Here is an 18501-nt window from a genome sequence, read left to right as displayed (position 1 = left end):
AAATACAGGGTTGGGCTGGGCACAGCGGCTCATGCCTGTAATCCCAGCACTTTGGGAGGCCGAGGCGGGCGGATCACTTGAGATCAGGAGTTCGAGACCAGCCTGGCCAACATGGTGAAACCCCCATCTCTACTAAAAATACAAAAATTAGCCGGGCATGGTGGTGCATGTCTGTAATCCCATCTACTCTGGAGGCTGAGACAGGAGAATCACTTGAACCCGGGAGGCAGAGGTTGCAGTGAGCCTAGATCTTGCCACTGTACTGCAGCCTGGGCGACAAAGTAAGACTCTGTCTCAAAAAATAAAAATAAATAAATAAATAATAAAATAAAATACAGGGCTGGGCCGAGCATAGTGGCTTACACCTATAATCCCAGCACTTTGGGAGGCTGAGGTGGGAGGACTGCTTTAGCCCAGGAGGTTGAGGCTGCAGTGAGCTGTGATCATGCCGCTGTACTCCAGCCTGGACAGCATAGTGAGACCCCATCTCAAAAAAGGAATACAGGGCCGGCTTCATGGGTGTGCCACCTGTGCAGTCGTCCAGGGCCCCACGTTTGGAAGGACCCCACACTTAGTTAAATGCTCTGATGCTATCATCTTAAAATTCTTAGTCGTTTTTGAACAAGGGCTAAATTTTTCATTTTGCACTGAGCCTGCAAATTATGCAGCTGTTCCTGGTGAAATGCCTCCCTCCTGGGTCTCTGTGAGAATTGAGTACGAGGCGATTCCTGGGAAGCACCCAGCACGGTGCTTTGCATAAAGTCAGTGGCTCAAGAAGTGGAGAAGCGCCCCAAAGTGAACCCCAGTACCCCGCAGGTTCCCTGCACTGCCTGTCCCTTCCCTCGGAGGAGGCACCACAGGGACTCCGGTCCCCGGACACCATCTGTTGATTGGCCCAGCCTGTGGGAGAGGGCTTGGCCTCCTCTGGAACCTTCCTGCTGCCCTGTGTGACTTGCTCGCCTCTCCGCAGCTGATCGCCTGGGAGCCGGAACAGGAAGAGGAGGTTACCATGGTGACCGCCCGGCCTAACTTTCAAGACAGCATCCACGTGGGCTTCGTGTCTGGCCTGAAGAAGTTCACCGAGTACTTCACCTCAGTGCTGTGTTTCACCACCCCCGGGGACGGGCCACGCAGCACCCCGCAGCTGGTGCGCACCCATGAGGATGGTAGGCACCCCCCAGCCCTGCTCTTTCTGCCCCCCCCCGCCCAAGGCCAGGCTGGGCGCCCCAGGCAGAAGGGTGGCCCAGGCTTGTCTCCCAGGCTGAGATACCCCCAGATTACCACAGGCTATCTCACAGATGGTGGTCTCTCTCTGGCTCTAACTGGCCTTGGGGGGTGGGGGTTCCTTTTGGGGTGCAGTGCCTGGGCCCGTGGGACACCTGAGCTTCAGTGAGATCCTGGACACATCGCTGAAGGTCAGCTGGCAAGAGCCGGGAGAGAAAAATGGCATCCTCACAGGTAGGCACTGCAGTGTTTCTGAACCAGAGGGCAGGACAGGGCTGGGAAAGGTCAGAGCTGGTCCATCCCCTGCCTTTGAGCTACTTTTCACCCAAACTCTTGAAGCCAACCCATGCTTTCTTAGAAACCACTCACAGGAGGCTCTTGGCACCTCCACTTCATAACACATCCCAGAGTCTGCAGCCCCACACCTTCTGCCACAGATCTCAGTGGCTGCCATGATGACTCACTATGTCCCCTGCAATTCCCTAAAGTGCTGGCATCCCACTGAGGCGACACCTGAGACCCAGGGCATGATGCCAACAGCTCCCACCTCCCTTGGCCCCATTGCTCCCAGCGTGGATCTAATTGCCAGCCTAGTGGAGAAGTGAGAAGTGGAGTAGTGGGTCAGGCCAACTTGTGATCACAGCCAAGCTCATGCCAACACGGCGGCTCTCCCCAGGGTACCGGATCTCCTGGGAGGAGTACAATCGAACCAACACCCGTGTGACCCACTACCTGCCCAACGTGACCCTGGAGTACCGTGTCACGGGCCTCACCGCGCTCACCACCTACACCATCGAGGTGGCCGCCATGACCTCAAAGGGCCAGGGCCAAGTGTCCGCCTCCACCATCTCCTCTGGGGTGCCCCCAGGTAAGTGCCCACTCTCAAGGCAGGACTCTTTGAGTTCTCCTGAGCAGCGTCCCATTCAAGAGGCCCCTTGTCGGCTGGGCGTGGTGGCTCATGCCTGTAGTCCCAGCACCTTGGGAGGCTGAGGCAGGCGTATCACTTGAGGTCAGGAGTTCGAGACCAGCCTGGCCAACGTGGTAAAACCCTACTAAAAATACAAAAATTAGCCAGCTGTGGTGGTGCATGCTTGTGATCCCAGTTAGTTGGGAGGCTGAGGATGGAAGATCGCTTGAACCCAGGAGGTAGAGGTTGCAGCGAGCCGAGATCACACCACTGCACTCCAGTCTGGGTGACAGGGCCACATCGCGTCTCAAAAAAAAAAATAAAAAGAGGCCCCTTGTCTTTCAGGAATACCAGCGTTCTTCCCACAGGCTCTCCCCTTCCCTTGTGCTGTGTGGGTCTGGGTCCCCTCAGAGCAGGCGGAATCCCTGGGATCCCAGGTCTCTGGACAGGGGCTCCCCTGGCTCCCTGCTGCATCCTCCCACAGCTCTCAGAAAAGCAGAGGCCCCCTGCCTTGTCTCATTTCCCCACCAGTCCCTCCCTTCACCCATTTCTCACCAGATTCCACACCAGGCAATGGTATCTGTGATTCAGGGGAAAATTTCCCACTGTCGCCCAGAGGGTCCACCTTGGATTCCAGCGTGTGGAAGGGTTGGTTGGGAGGTGGCAGAGCACGGTGGGGCTACTCCTAGGCCTGGCACAGAGAGCAAGCCGAGGTCCACTCTCAGCTCTGCTTCTGCCAAGCCCTACAACCTTGAGCAAGTTCTGTGTCCCCTCTGTGCCTCAGTTTCCCCATCTGTATATATGGGAAGTTGGACCAGATAACCATGTGGTCCCATCCAGATCAGTCAGGCAGTGCTTGTTTGACCTGCCAGCATCCCTCCACCTGCTGCGTAGATGGCTGGGCTGCCTGAGTCTCAGCCAAAGCCCAGTGATAATTACAGCCATGCTGGCAAATAGGTATGTAGTGTTCACGGGGCATGGTGCTGGGAGCTTTGCTCACGTTGACTCATTTAATCCTCACAACAACCCTGAGGGAGGTGTTGCTATTATCCTCTTCATTACCAAGGAGGACATGGAGGCACAGAGAGTTGGATAACTTGTGCAAAGACACACAGCCTGTAAGTAGTGGAGTTAGATTTAAACTCATTCTGACTCCAGAATCTGTGTTCTTTCTGTTGTTCCTGAGCTCCAAGAGCCCCAGGATTCCTGGCCAGAAAATAAGCTTCCCCCTGTCCCCACCCATCCTCTCACCTTCCTGAGCTGTAATTAGGCGTAGGAGGTGTGCAGGGGTCTGGGCGGATGGAAGGGAGGATCGGTCCCGTTTGGTTTCTTTCTCAGCACAGCTTGGTTTTAATGCAGCTTTTAGCTGCCTTATGATTACCTCACTCACATCCAGAACTGCCAGGAAGAAGGCGGCATCCCGGCCCCTGTTTCCTGGCCCTGAGAGCCTCCTCTCAGCCCTAGGAGATCCCCTTTGACCCCCAACTCTGTCTCAGCCTCCTGGCATGAACATGGTTCTCCGTAAGACACAGGAACAAAGACTGTGGGTGGAGTGGGGCCGTGGCTGTGCTTCTCCTCAGACATTTCCAGGAAAAGCGTGACACACAGCCCCCTCCATGCCCAACAGTCCCGTTCAACATGGGGGGCCATTCTCACCGGATCTCCTTCCCCACCCTGTTCTCCTTTTCCAGAACTCCCAGGGCCCCCCACCAACCTGGGCATTTCCAACATCGGCCCCCGCTCTGTGACCTTGCAGTTCAGGCCAGGCTACGATGGGAAAACCTCCATCTCCCGCTGGCTGGTGGAAGCCCAGGTAGGGCAGGCCTGGGGCCTGACCAGCAGCCCCCGCCAGGGCACCCCGTGCCCTTGAGTGCAAAATCTTATGTGTATTTCGGCCTGTGTGAATTTTCATGTGCAGCTCTCAATGGCCCATTATACTCCAAATGCTCACACTTGCCAATGTTGTCTCCAACTCCCCCTGCCCCTCACCTGTGTACATGGAAAAACACACACACACTACAGTCCCCTCCTGGGTCGGGGGGTGCCTAGAAAAATACCCAGTTGCTGGAATATAAAAATATCCGCCTTGGCTGTACCCTGGAATCATCAGGGGAGCGTTCAGAAGCGCCAACACCTGTGCCCCTACCCCAGAAACTCTGATTCTGATTTAGCTGATTTGAGGGGCAGCCTGGGTCTCTGGAAGTACCCGGGGTGTTCAAGAGAATCACCTGGGCTGCTTGTTAAAAGCACAGATTCCTGGGCAGCACTCGAGGGATTCTGTAAGTAGTGGAGTTAGATTTAAACTCATTCTGACTCCAGAATCCAGGAATATATTGATCACAAGCATCCTGAGAGATTCTAAGGCAGGAGGGTTGAGTCACACTTGCAGTCATGTTTAGGGGCCTGGAAAGATGGTAGCCCCATATGGTGCCCTCCAGATGAGCCCTGGGTTCTGAACCAACTTCTTCCCTGGCAGGGCTTGTACTGGGGCTCGGAGCACCCCGTGTGGGCCCTGTAGGCTGGACAGGCCTAAGATCCTGCCCTTTTCCAGGTAGGCGTGGTTGGGGAGGGAGAGGAGTGGTTGCTGATCCACCAGCTCTCCAATGAGCCCGATGCCCGCTCCATGGAGGTGCCCGACCTCAACCCCTTCACCTGCTACAGGTAATGAGACTGGCCCGGGGAGAAGGCAGCAGCCTCAGGGCTGGGGGTGGGTGGGGGCTATGGCCCAGACCAGGACAGGGTTGAGAGTTGGGTGAGCTGCCCTTACCATCTTGCTCATCTCTCCCCAACCCCAGCTTCCGCATGCGCCAGGTGAACATCGTGGGCACCAGCCCCCCCAGTCAGCCTTCTAGAAAGATCCAGACCCTGCAGGCACCCCCTGACATGGCCCCAGCCAATGTGTCTCTGCGCACAGCCAGTGAGACCAGCCTGTGGCTGCGCTGGATGGTAAGGCTCCCTCGAGGGCAGGGGTGGGACCTCTCCATGAGCTTCTGGTCATTGCCTCCTAGAAGGTGCACATCAGAATTCCTACAGCTCCTTTCTCCTCTCTTTCTGTTTTCTGATGAGATGCCTGATAATCAACATCTTAGCCCAACGAACAAATGCCCCCCCGCCCGCCGATGAGAGGAAGGAGCTCAAAAATACTGTTTACTGAGCATCGCCAAGTGGCAAGCATTTTAAATTTTCATCCCATTTGATTCTCCCAATAATCTTACAAAGGATACATGATCATCCCAATTTACAGCTAAGAAAACTGAGGCTCAGAGAGGTTAAGAACTTGCCCACAGCCACACAGCTCCCAAGCGGCGGGTCTGGGGTTCAAGTGCCACTGTGGCATTCAGAGAGTGTCCCCAGATCCGGGCTGTGTGTTGAGGGTCCTGACCGTGGGCCATCCTGCACGAGGTAGTGACAGTAACACACCGAGGCTTCCTCTCCTACCAGGCGCTGTTCTGACAACAAGCCTGTGACAGCAGAGTGATCCTGGTCCCCCTTTTGCAGATGAGGAAACCGGGGCAGAAGAGAGGTCAGATCACTCGCCCAAGTTCTCCCGTATCCTCCCACGTGCTTTCATGAACAGCAGGGCTGAGGTCCCAACCCGGGGAATCTTTACCCGCAAGTCCACAGCCCTAACCATCGGGCACACTGCCGTCTCATCCTCTGGAGAACAGGCCACTTCTCCCCACCAGGCCCTCTGGAACATCGTTTCCCAGCACGTGTCCCACAGAGCAGCAATCCCAGGAGGCGTGTGGAGCAAACAAGAATTCTTAGACAAATAAATGTGGGAACAGCACCACATACCACAGCTCCATAGAGAATCCAGGAACACTAGCATAGCAGGAGCCCTCTTGACCCTGCTTCCCCAGGCCCATCTGACCACACAAACCCTTTGTTTCCACGTAAGATCTCACTCATTGTGCAAAACACAACTTGCAAACACACCACACTGTGAAGTCATTATTGCCGTTCCTGTGCGCGGACAGCTTGATGCTAGCGGCCATGAAAGCGCTTGGCGCCGTCAGTCCTCGATAAATATGAGTTATTGATTGCAGTTCCCTTCCCAGAGTGGCTGGTGCCTGAGCAGAGCTGCAGAGCTGTCTCGGCCCACCTCAGTGCCCCGTGCACAGTGTGACTATACCCACCTCCTGCCTCTTTGCTCCCAGGCATCCCCACCCCAGGCTGGCTCCCTGCTTCCTTCCTGAATCTCACTTTAAGGTTTGCAGCTACTAAAAGGTTAGAGCCTGATGCGGAGGGCAGGGACTGCATGGGGGAATAGAAAGGCAGCTGCCATGTGGCACAGGGCCCTAGACACTTCTCAGGCCCACGCTTAATGGTGCGTGGTCCATTACCTTTCCTCAGCAGGTAAAGGAACTTGCACTTAAGCCCCATCTCCGGCTCTCAGGACCATCGATTGCTATCTTAATGGTCTTTGGTCGGCTTCACTAAGTGTCTGCAGGAGGGAGGAAGCGTGTAGTGAGCAGGGGAGGTTGGGGCCGAAGGTGAGGAGTGGGGTAAAGTGGGTCAGCCTAGGGTGAGCCTGTGGACCAAGGGCCCTCCAGAGCCCCTGGGGAAGCAGAACTGGGGGAGGTGAGGGCTGGAGATGCCCCCACCCCAGCTCTGTGCCCTTCAGAGTAGTGGAGGCCAGGCCCTGGGCTCCCCTCCCTGTGTGCACACCTCCACTCTCACCAGCACTGCCCATGGTCATCCACACAACCTTAAGCTGGTGACCACAGCCCCATCAGCCTAGTCCTAAGGCCCCAAAGAAATCTGACTTTTCTTTTCTGTGAGACTCAAACAAGAAGGAGGAGGCTGGTTGGGCGTGGTGGCTTGTAATCCCAGCACTTTGGGAGGCCGAGGCGAGCAGATGACTTGAGCTGAGGAGTTTGAGATCAACATGGCGAAACCTCGTCTCTACAAAACTTAGCAGGCATAGTGGCACACGCCTATAGTCCCAGCAAGAGATTGCTTGAGCCCAGGAGGTAGAGGTTGCAGTGAGCTGAGACAGCACCATGGCACTGCAGCCTGAGAGACAGAGCCAGACCCTGTCTTAAAAAAAAAAAAGAAAAGAAAAAGGAGGCTGAAAATGCAGCAGGAGAGGCTGAGGTTTGCTGGACAGAAGGACTTCCTGACTGGCAGGTGCCCCACTCATCCTGCTCTCTGCCCATGCTCACTCAAAGGCAGGCATGAGCTGAGACCAGGTGCGGTAGGCAATTAAGTGTGTGCTGGCAGCCTGAGTGACAGAGGTAAGCAGCAGAGACAGCAGAGCCAAAGGTGGCGGTGCTATCGGTGTGTCAGACACACAGCCTTTGTGGCTCCTGACTCCCTTGGCAGGGTAATAGATTTGTCACATACACAATAAAGAAAGGATGCTGCTTCTCTGTCCTCCCTGCAGGAAGATAAGAGCCCATCAGAAACACAGTCACACAACCTAAGCCACACTCGGGTGAGAGAGCCTCATGTGGACACTGACCGGGTGACAGTGGGATGGATAGCCCTGAAGGCGCCCTGGAGGAGAGGGTAGCAGGGCAGTTCCTCCCTGCACAGTGGGGGGCCTGGCTCATAGCAGCTTTGCCACCCCTGCCCCGCTGCAGCCTCTCCCGGAGATGGAATACAATGGGAACCCTGAGTCCGTGGGCTATAAGATCAAGTACAGCCGGTCAGACGGGCATGGCAAGACGCTGAGCCACGTGGTGCAGGACCGTGTGGAGCGGGACTACACCATCGAGGACCTGGAGGAGTGGACAGAGTACCGCGTCCAGGTCCAGGCCTTCAACGCCATCGGGAGCGGGCCCTGGAGCCAGACGGTGGTGGGCAGGACCCGGGAGTCAGGTACCAACCCCTCACACCCAGCCACCCTGCTGCCTGTCCCCTCCTTGGTCTCTATGCCCTCAGGGTCATCCAAGCGCGTGCCAGGCTGAAGGTGTTGTTCAAAAACAGCCTGAGCTCATTTCCTCTGCTTATGCTCAATGTCACAATGATGTTGCCGCCTCTCCCAGCACCTGCCACTTCTCTGCAACTGTGCCTGCTATTCCCATATTCCCAAGGGGGGCGGGGGTATCCCTGCCTCTGGAGGACAGCTGGGTAGGCTCCACCATTCATACTGCCCACTCTCCTGCCCTCAGCTTTAACCCTGAAACCCAGTGGTGCCTGAAAGACCACAGTGGAGGGGTCGAGGAAAGGGTTAGCTCTCAGGACATTCCAGAATCACTACCGGAAGCTCCTGGGGGCCTGCCCAGGGGTGACCCACAGAATGTGAGCCCAGCATTCAGGCAACTCTCATCCATCCACACATGGTTCACTGCTCTGTGGCTTTTTCCTGGCACCCTTTAAATGACAGACAGCTCTCCTGGGCCACCCTGGTCCCTCTGCCAGCCCTCTCTGCTGTGCTAGCAGGAAATGCAAGCTCATCTAATCCTAACCTGAGCAGAGAATCCTGTGAGGAGGCTCATCTGAAACCGGAAACGGCATCTGCAGCATTCCAAAACCAAAGGCCATCTTAGTGGGATTGTTTGCAGTTTGGGGACCATGTGTGCCACGTTTCTTCCATAGAGAGGCAACATCGAGCTGGCCCCTCCCTCGGCCCCCTGTCCTGGTCCACTTCCCTTGCACAGTCAACGTTGGGTCCTGAGTGCCTTCTCTCCACTCCCTTTCCCCCACAGTTCCCTCTTCCGGCCCCACCAATGTGTCTGCACTGGCCACCACCTCCAGCAGCATGCTGGTGCGCTGGAGCGAGGTCCCCGAGGCTGATCGCAACGGGCTCGTGCTGGGCTATAAGGTGAGTCCCGGGATCCCAGGAGGTGGGGTCCCTACACTGGCCCCTCCAGCCTCTCCATCCAAGGGGCCTTGTCCTTATCACCCTCTAGGTCTCTGCCTCCTAGAGTGGATACAGGGGATCTGCCTGGCGTCCTAGCCAATGGTCACCATGGCAACCATGAGTCATCCCTTGTGGGTGAGGAGGCACCCAGAAAGGACCCAGGGCCTAGGGCTGCTCCATCTCTCCCGGGAGGCCACGCTGGATGCCCCCAGCCTCACTCAGCTCTGTTGGACCCAGTTTTGCTTTTCATTATCTTTTAGAATTCCTTTTAAAGCTGTGCCTAGCCACATGGTCCAGCCCTGGTCTGGAAGTTGGGAGATGTGTGACACACAGCTGCTCATCCTGGGGATGAGACTCGGGAAAAGTGTAGATGGGTGAGATGCAGGCCTGAGGCCCTCACCCTGTGCTGGGCCCTGACAGGTGATGTATAAGGAGAAGGACTCGGACACCCAGCCCCGATTCTGGCTGGTGGAAGGCAACTCGTCTCGCAGTGCCCAGCTCACCGGCTTGGGCAAATACGTGCTCTATGAAGTCCAGGTGCTGGCCTTCACACGCATCGGGGACGGCAGCCCCAGCCACCCTCCCATCCTGGAGCGGACGCTGGATGATGGTGAGTCCGTATCCCAGCAAGCTTGGGGAAGGCTGGGAGGAGCCGCCCTTCCTCCTGCCCATCTGGCCTTGCCCTTCTGGGGTCAGGCTCTGCCCCACAGGGAGCCATGGCCTCAGATGCCTCCGGTAGGGATGGGTCACCCAGAGCTACCAGCCCCACTGCAGGGGATGCTAATTACAGCCTGTGTATCCCTGAGGACAATGCGGAGGCAGTTTGACGTCTGATTCAGTCTCTTGGTCTCTCTGCAAAACAAGCATACAGAATAGGGACTTGCACCCGTTTTAATTTACTTTTCTTTTTTTTTTTTTTTTTTTTTTGATAGAGTATCACTCTGTCACCCAGGCTGGAGTGCAGTGGTGCGATCTTGGCCCACTACAACCTCCGCCTCCCAGGTTCAAACCATTCTCTTGCCTCAGCCTCCTGAGCAGCTGGGATTACAGGCGCTGGCCACCACACCCAGCTGATTGTTGTATTTTTAGTAGAGCTGGGGTTTCACCATGTTGGCCAGGCTGGTCTCGAACTCCTGACCTCAGGCAATCCACCCACCTCAGCCTCCCAACATGCTGCAATTACAGATGTGAGCCACTGCACCCGGCCAGTTTTACTTTATTTTTCAACTGGAGCAGGTTCACTTTGAGTAAAGGTCTGTGAAAGTATTTTTCCTGGACGCACGAACCTCCTGGTCCTGTTTGCAAAAGAATGTCACCAGTGGGCTGCAGGCATTCATCCCTGTAGCAAAACTCCCCATCAGAAGCTCACCAATGCATCCCTTGCCCCCTCCTATCTCCCCGCACACGCCCCCACCTACTGCCCACCACAGACATTTGCAGGAACCGGACCAGAGTGCAGAAGGAAGCCCAAATACCATATGTTTGCATATGCTAACATTATTCATCAAGCTAATGAACCGTTAAATATGTTCTATCCTCCTGCCTTGACAGATATACCCTTACAACGATCTGGAAGGCCAGGTTCAAGTTTAGAAATCTCAGGCTGGGCGTGGTGGCTCACGCCTGTAATCCTAGCACTTTAGGCAGCCAAGGCAGGCAGACCACTTGAGGTCAGGAGTTCAAGACCAGCCTGGCCAACATGGTAAAACCCTGTCTCTACCAAAAATATAAAAATTAGCCGGGTGTGGTGGCACACGCCTGTAGTCTCAGCTACTGGGAGGCTGAGGCAGGAGAATCGCTTGAACCCGGGAGGCGGAGCTTGCAGTGAGCTGAGATTACGCCACTGCACTCCAGCCTGGGCAACAGAGCGAGACTCGGTATTAAAAAAAAAAAAAAAGTTTGGAAATCTCAGACATCTTATTCTGTTCTGCAGTGCGGCAACACAGAAGAGTGCCCCTCCCCAGCTACCCTCCCCCACCCCCTGCCCCATTCTCTCCTCACCCTGTCCTTTGACCCACTCCATTCAATCTTCATCTCCACACCTGCAAAATAGCTACCGCTTGGCCTTCCCTGGAGCCAGGGGTGCATAGCCTACCCTCAGGAGGGTGGATGTGGGGACGAGGCCCATGCAGCCTCTGGAAGCGTGCTTAGGCCTCTCTGGGCAGGGAATTCCGGGGTCCCAGGATTCCAGAGCAAGGTCTAGAGAGAGAGAGGAGTGGTGCAGGCTGGGGGTGGGCATTTCCCATTACCCCACGGCCACTTCACCCCATGGGTGGAAGGAAGTCAGAACAGGACCTTCTGAAGCACTGACGCATCCATCCAGGGCCCACGCGCCCAGCTCTGAGGGCAGCCCGGTTCTGGGGCGTGTATACAGACAATGAGCAGAGGAAGCTGGAGCCTCAGGTCGCTGCCAAATGATGCCTATTTTGAGGGCAGAAAGCCCCCTTGGTTCCACGTTCTTGCCCCTGGCTCCTAACACAGTGTCAGGCACAGGGCAGTACTCCACAGAAATTCACTGAGCTGGGCGGCCCCTTCCCCCTCCACCCTGCCAGGCTGCTCTGCCCGAGCTGGGCTCATCCCCAGCTGAGCGGCAGCCTCATGGGTCGGCCTCCTCTCCTTTGCCCCCTCCAGTCCCAGGACCACCCATGGGCATCCTGTTCCCAGAGGTGCGGACCACGTCTGTGCGGCTGATCTGGCAGCCCCCTGCCGCCCCCAATGGCATCATTCTTGGTAAGCCTTTGCCCTTCCCGTGCCCCGGCTGCAGGAAGAAGGAAGAGGCATGAGCTGCAAAGGAGGCCACTTCGTTACCAGCTTGAGGGAGAGTAGGTCCAGGGAGCCTCCACATCCCCTCTAGAATGGGATCTGGGTGTTAGTCCTCCTGCTAGAAATTCCAGTGTGTAAGATTATCTTCCGGAGGGCAAGATCAGAGTTGAAGTCCCTTAAGAGTCATGGGTTGGCTTTGCGTCCCCAAATGTCCCCAGGCCCCCAGCCTGCCGGCCATCTGGTAAACCTCGGACGCTGTTCCTTAGCATGGCCAAGTGAGGGCACGCTGGCAGGCTCAGCACAGCTGGAAAAGAGTCTCAAGGCGCACAGGAGGGAGGCTACAGATGGGAAGCTTCATCTCACATTTAGAGTTCCCCCAATACACACACCCAGGGTTCCGGTCGGCAGCTGCGTGAACTTGAGCAAGTCTACTCCCCTCTGCGGCCTCAGTGCCCTCACCTTTAAAATGGGGGCTTGGACTACCTGTACCTGTCCCAGGGTTCTCAGTCCTGACCTCACGCACCACCTGCCCTAGAGCAATGCCACATCCCCAAGACAGAGTGGGGGCAGGAAGGACAAGTGCATTAGCCCAGAAAGACCTGGGCTGGGATTCCAGCTCTGTCACTTACCAGCAGGTGGTCTGGCCTCTCCGGGCCTCAGTTTCTTCACTTGGGGCTGTTACGGGGGTCACAGACACTGTGCATAGAGTGCCTCTCCATGCCACCCACAGTCCACCCTCCCCAGGTGGCAGCTGAAGACTGGAGAGTGACCCAGAGACCTCAGGCAGACAGACCACAGCCAAAGGGACCACGGCAAGGTGGCCATGTACAGACACAGCTGTGGCTTTGGACGGAACAACCCTTCCCGGGGCCCTAGGAGCGGCTTGCCTTGCTTGCCATAATAGCCATGTGCTTCCTTCCCACAGCTTACCAGATCACACACCGGCTCAACACCACCACGGCCAACACCGCCACTGTGGAGGTGCTGGCACCCAGCGCCCGGCAGTACACAGCCACGGGCCTCAAGCCAGAGTCTGTCTACCTGTTCCGCATCACGGCCCAGACCCGCAAGGGCTGGGGAGAAGCTGCCGAGGCCTTGGTGGTGACCACCGAGAAGAGAGGTGACTGCCCACGGGGGCCAGGGAAGGCTTGGGGGCAGCTGAGGGGGGGCCAGCCAGTGCTCTGAGCTGTTCCTAGTGGATGGCTGGTATGAGCTGCAGTGCCCTGGATGAGAATGGAAGGTGGGCTCCAATCTCTGAAGTCAAAGTCAGCAAGGGGTCTAATAGACTCCCAGAGATGAGCCGCAAGTTCACACCCAAGGACCCTACTCTGGTCTGGTCTTCTAAAGGGAAAGTTTGTGGCCAGGCTTAGTGGCTCACGCCTGTAATCCCAGCACTTTGGGAGGCCAAGGCGGGTGGATCACTTGAGGTCAGGAGTTTGAGACCAGCCTAGCCAACATGGTGAAACCCCGTCTCTACTAAAAATACAAAAATTAGCCAGCGTGGTGGCACACACCTGTAATCCCAGCTACTCAGGAAGCTGAGACACGAGAATCACTTGAACCTGGGGGACGGAGGTTGCAGTGAGCCAAGATCGCACCACTGCACTCCAGCCTGGGTGACAGAACAAGACTCTGTCTAAATTAATTAATTAATTAAGGGAGGGTTAGTGACCATCTTCCCTCTCCCCTCCCCACTCACAGCCCTGGCCTTGTCAACACAGATGGGCGCAGGATCAGGGCTGCAGCCTGGAGCCCCGGCTGCCACTGCACTGCTGCCCTGAGCTGGCACCTTGCCTGATCTTGGACTCCCCAAAAGCAAGCCTGGGACCCCGACTGGCCTGATAGGGATATATTAGAAACTACTCTCAACCTGGGCCACATAGTGAGACACCATCTCTACAGAACATAGAAATATTAGCTATAGGCCGGGCATGGTGGCTCACACCTGTAATCCTAGCACTTTGGGAGGCCGAGGCAGGTGGATCACCTGAGGTCGGGAGTTCAAGGCCGTCCTGGCCAACGTGGTGAAACCTCGTCCCTACTAAAAATACAAAAATTAGCTGGGCATGGTGGCACATGTCAGTAACCCCAGCTACTTGGAAGGCTGAGGCAAAAGAATCGCTTGAACCTGCGAGGCGGAGGTCACAGTGAGCTGAGATCACACCACTGCACTCCAGCCTGGGCTACAGAGCAAGACCGTCTCAAAAAAAAAAAAAAAAAAAAGAAAGGAATATCAGCCAGGTGTGGTGGTGTACATCTGTAGTCCCAGCCATTCAAGAGGCCGAGGTAGAAGGATTGCTTGAATCAAGGAGTTTGAGGCTGTAGTGAGCTATGATCGTGCCACTGCACTCCAGCCTGGGAAACAGATACAGACCCTGACTGTGTTTTAAATAACGAAAGAAAAAGGAAGGAGGGGAAGGGGAAGGGGAAGGGAAGGGAGGAGAGGGGAGGGGAGGGGGAAGGGAAAGGGAGGGGAGGGAAGGGGGGAAAAAGGGAGGGAGGGAGGGAGGGAGGGAGAAGGAAGAGAAGGAGGGAGAAAAGAGAGGGAGAAAGAAAAGGAAAGGAGGGGGGAAGGAAGGAAGGAAGGAGAGGGAGGGAAGGAAGGAAGGAGGGAGGGAAGGAAGGAAGGAAGGAGAGGGAGGGAAGGAAGGAAGGAGGGAGGGAAGGAAGGGAGGGAAGGAAGAAGAAAATGTACTCAGGAAAAACCATTAGTACAGTGCTTCTCAACTGGGGACTTCTTTGGCCACAGGGGACATTGGACATGTCTGGAGACATTTTGGTTGTCACAGTGTGGGAGTGCTACTGGCATCAAGTGGGTGGAGGCCAGGGACACTGCTGAGCATCCTGCATTGCATAGGATGCCCCCGCCACAGAGTCATCTGTTCTGAATTCCAGTACTGCTGAGGTTTGAGAAGCCCTGCAGAAGGGGCGGGGCAGCGAGGCTGGGGAGAGAAGGAAGCCAAGCTAGGGCCTGGAATGAAGCAGCGCTTCTCGTAGGGAAACAACCTCATCCTGCTCAATCAGGGACAGCGCAGGGCCCGGCTCAGCCTCGTTTCAGGCAGGAGCAAAGGAGCTGGGTGGGTGTTTGTCACTCCTCACCGTCAATCCTTGCTTAGGGCTGCCCTGAGGAGCTGTAAGTTCCCAGGCCCTGGGGCTCTAGGAGCCTGAGGGTGGGCCTCTAACCAGGAGAGGGGTGCTGGCTGTACCCAGGTGTGAGAACCTGCAAGGATCCTGCGTGCATGGAATTGGGATGGGAAGGGGATGCCAGGCCTGAGCCCAGATCACCTCCTTTCCTCCCTCGAGAAAGTCCAGCCCCCTCCACCATGGCCTGGCCCACTCACCTGCTCCTCCCCCTCTGCCACCTCCCAGACCGTCCGCAGCCCCCCAGCAGGCCGATGGTGCAGCAGGAGGATGTGAGAGCACGCAGCGTGCTGCTGTCCTGGGAGCCAGGGAGCGACGGGCTCTCCCCTGTGCGCTACTACACCATCCAGACCCGCGAGCTGCCCAGCGGCAGGTGGGCACTGCACTCGGCCTCCGTGAGCCACAATGCCTCCAGCTTCATTGTGGACAGGTAAGGCTCGGGTCCATGCCAGCATCCCCACTGCCCCTCTCCCCGCCGGGACCAGCGGTGCTCCTCCACTGGGTAGGGGGCCTTCTGAAAACACCTCCAGCCTGCCCCCAGCTCTCCTCCTACATGCACCACCCAGGCGGCCCCCGCGTCCACTCTCACCCTCGCAAATCAGCTCTATCCTGCTCTTCCTCACTCTGTTCCCTCTGGAACTCTGTTAGGTTGCCTCTTAATTATCTATTTCTGGAGCCTAGAAGTCCCCCTTTAGTGAAGTGCCTGTCATCCTTCATTAGTGATTCTTCCAGCCGGGCGGTATCTTCCTCTCCAGCTTTAATAGGGGAGTGGAGCGTCACTCCGAAATTCTAGCTTCAATTTAATTCCGAGTGGGTTGAATTTTTTATATTCCAGTTGATGTGACCGGGAGTTTTGAGCAATACTTTCTTCCCCACCTCTCCCACCCCCCATAAATCTAAAAGAGAGACGTTTGCTCCCAGAGGAAATAAGGCTTATAGAGATGAAGTACTGCTTAACTCTTGAGAACCTCAGCTCCTCCCTAATTTACTACATTTAAAAAAGAGAGGCCAGGAGCGGTGGCTTACGCCCGGAATCCCAGCACTTTGGGAGGCCGAGGCGGGAGGATCACTTGAGGTCAGGAGTTTGAAACCAGTCTGGCCAACATGGTGAAAACCTGTCTCTACTAAAATACAAAAATTAGCCAGGTGTGGTAGCACATGCCTGTAATCCCAGCTATTCAGGAGGCTGAGGCACAAGAATCGCTTGAACGCGGGAGGCGGAGGTTGCAGTGAGCCAAGATCGCACCACTGCACTCCAGCCTGGGCAACAGAGTGAGACTCTGTCTCAACAACAACAAAAAAAGACTCCATCTCAAACAAAAAAAAAGAAAGAGATGGCAGTTTGTTGGGGGCAGGGGAGGAGTTTGTTCCGAGTGGAGGTATTGGTGCTTTTGTGACTGCATGGTTCTGCGAAGTGGGGAAGCTGCAGACATTTCCTTCTCGGGATGCTATGGCTTACAACTGGGGCTAAAGGCACCCCAAGCTGGCATGGTCTGGAGGACCTGGTCTAGGTGCTTGGGACCCCTGGGGCCGGGTCCCAGTTTGTCCTCTTTGCAGCAAAGCTCCTTTCTGAGCCTCAGTGTGCCCTTCTGTGTAGTAGGCTGGCACCCTGCCCCCTTTCCCGAGCAGGGCCAGATCAGGGAGACTCCTTGGTGGGAGCATGGGGCGAGGCCTTTAAGGAGCACCTTGGCTCATTGGCCCTGATTTCTCCCTACAGGCTGAAGCCCTTCACGTCCTACAAGTTCCGAGTGAAGGCGACCAATGACATTGGCGACAGCGAGTTCAGCGAGGAGTCGGAGTCACTGACCACCCTGCAGGCTGGTCAGTACCCCTTCCCCAGCAGTCTCTCTCTCAGCCCACTGGCTGCTTCCTGGGCATGGGGCATTTTCTTACGGGGGGAGGGGCCTCCAAAGATGAGAGAGGCGTGGGACCCACTGGGCCCTTCAGCTCCCGGGGTAGGGTCTCAGGGAGGTTTGGGCCAGAGACACTTTTGCCAAGGGCTCAGGGTCCCAGGCCCAGCCTGGCCTGTGGCGTATTCCTCCTGTCCCACAAGCTGCCAGTGAGCGGGACAGGAGTTCTCAGCAGCAGCAGAAGTGGTCTATGGCTCTGAGGAGCAGAGCGGAGGGGGCTCTGGGACCCTTGGGTTTGGGCTGAGTCAGCTCACAGTCCCTCCCTCCCTCCCCTTTACACCAGCCCTTTGTTCTGCAGAAATCGGGCCAGCAGGCATGGAGGGCGATGCGATCTGGACCTGCCCCGCAGTCCAGTATTAGCAGAATCTGGTCTCAGTGGGCTCCTGGGGAACTTGAAGCTGCGGCCCCCAGAACCCACCTGTCTGCTTCTCTCCACAGCCCCCGATGAAGCACCCACCATCCTCTCCGTGACGCCCCACACCACCACCTCCGTGCTAATCCGATGGCAGGTATGGCCCAGCGGGCAGGAAACCTCCGTGAAGACCCAGACGAGCTCTGCTCTGGGACTGGAAAGCCAGCAGTCCCCACCAGGGCTGCGTGGAGCCCCCAAGTTCTCTGCCCCCAGAGCGCCTGGGAAGCCATGAGAAATCCAGGCATGTGCATGTCACAGAACATTCTATACACCGTGTGCCCACACATACACACTCCCATAACACGCCTCATTACACTCTCTAGATAGTCACATCAGGCAGGTGCTGTCATCCTCTTCTGCAGACAACCACTGAGACTCAGGGAGGGGACCCGAATGGCCCCAGGTCACATAGCCAGTGAGTGGCAGGGCCAGGTGTATTAGCCTTAGGCCTGCTGAGTCCTTGGGCTGAAAAGTGCTTGTGGCTCTCAGGGCCCCCAGAGTCTCCATGAAGCCCCACTGGTCGGTGAAGGGATTCCTTGCAGAGACCTATGCCCGTCATCATCACTGTGCAAGTAGAGAGAAATGCCCCCCTTCGTCCATACCCCTTCCAGATGCCCACTCTTCAGTGGGCACTGCCTGCTCTGCCATGGCCTGGGGAAGACCATGGGCAAACCTCAGCGACCAGGCTGCTCATGGGTCCTGCCCCGCGGAGCCCTCCTGTGCCCTCTGAAGTTCAGCCTTGCCTCAGCAGGTCACCCACATGAGAGGGACCCCTGGCAAAACCCCATCTCTACTAAAAGTTAAAAGCACTGAACTCCCATCACCACTTCTCCAGATCAAAGGGGCAGGCACTCCCCTTCAGCCATCTGCCACTCCACAAAGGGAAAGCCCTTGAAGACAAAGCCAGGAGGGTCCCCCCAGCCTGAGACACACAGCTCAAGGAGAGGACGCTCCCGTAGATAAACATGACTTAGTGCACCTGTGACCGGGACGAGGCTGGAGCAACGTGGCAGAGGGAGGGGGCAGGGAGGTGCCCATGGCAGCCGGGGAAACCATTAAGGAGCTAACAAAGCCTGAGCTGTTTCAGCAGGTTTTTGGTTTTTTGGGGTTTTTGTTTTGTTTTGTTTTGAGACACAGTCTTGCGCTGTTGCCCAGGCTGGAGTACAGTGGTTCAATCTTGGCTCACTGCAACCTCCGCCTCCCAGCTTCACACGATTCTCTTTCCTCAGCCTTCCAAGCAAGACTACAGGCACATGCCACCACACCCAGCTAATTTTTATATTTTTAGTAGAGACGGGGTTTCGCCATGTTGGCCAGGCTGGTCAGACCATTC

The 18501-nt window shown here is 56.4% G+C and overlaps 1 protein-coding gene across 5 annotated transcripts in view, besides 2 other annotated features; it reads left to right on the top strand.

Annotated features, from left to right (window-relative positions):
- The window catches only part of SDK2 (sidekick cell adhesion molecule 2), a 310062-nt gene that overhangs the window by 241334 nt on the left and 50227 nt on the right, over positions 1 to 18501 (top strand). For 4 of the 5 annotated variants that reach the window (XM_047436313.1, XM_011524914.3, XM_011524915.3 and 1 more), the window contains exons 19-32: positions 971 to 1166; positions 1360 to 1458; positions 1901 to 2092; positions 3823 to 3944; positions 4683 to 4792; positions 4927 to 5077; positions 7720 to 7957; positions 8788 to 8903; positions 9363 to 9552; positions 11574 to 11672; positions 12631 to 12825; positions 15075 to 15276; positions 16564 to 16667; positions 17195 to 17265. In XM_047436313.1, the coding sequence (XP_047292269.1) occupies positions 971 to 1166; positions 1360 to 1458; positions 1901 to 2092; positions 3823 to 3944; positions 4683 to 4792; positions 4927 to 5077; positions 7720 to 7957; positions 8788 to 8903; positions 9363 to 9552; positions 11574 to 11672; positions 12631 to 12825; positions 15075 to 15276; positions 16564 to 16667; positions 17195 to 17265 (2085 nt within the window). Of the gene's footprint in view, positions 1 to 970; positions 1167 to 1359; positions 1459 to 1900; positions 2093 to 3822; positions 3945 to 4682; positions 4793 to 4926; positions 5078 to 5629; positions 6070 to 7719; positions 7958 to 8787; positions 8904 to 9362; positions 9553 to 11573; positions 11673 to 12630; positions 12826 to 15074; positions 15277 to 16563; positions 16668 to 17194; positions 17266 to 18501 lie in introns of those variants that run through there. The other variant, XM_011524916.4, reaches the window with a different exon arrangement.
- Positions 1418 to 1921: an enhancer, noted in NCBI's record as "H3K4me1 hESC enhancer chr17:71397330-71397833 (GRCh37/hg19 assembly coordinates)". NCBI's record gives its function as "activates a minimal SCP1, AML or CMV promoter by ChIP-STARR-seq in naive H9 embryonic stem cells {active_cell/tissue: H9 hESC(naive)}" and the evidence as "EXISTENCE:reporter gene assay evidence [ECO:0000049][PMID:30033119]".
- Positions 1922 to 2426: an enhancer, noted in NCBI's record as "H3K4me1 hESC enhancer chr17:71396825-71397329 (GRCh37/hg19 assembly coordinates)". NCBI's record gives its function as "activates a minimal SCP1, AML or CMV promoter by ChIP-STARR-seq in naive H9 embryonic stem cells {active_cell/tissue: H9 hESC(naive)}" and the evidence as "EXISTENCE:reporter gene assay evidence [ECO:0000049][PMID:30033119]".

The sequence above is a fragment of the Homo sapiens genome, chromosome 17 (assembly GCF_000001405.40).
Source record: "Homo sapiens chromosome 17, GRCh38.p14 Primary Assembly".
Lineage (NCBI taxonomy): Eukaryota > Metazoa > Chordata > Mammalia > Primates > Hominidae > Homo > Homo sapiens.
The sequence above is the reverse complement of the archived record's forward strand: the minus strand, read 5'-3'. Positions and strand labels throughout refer to the sequence as shown.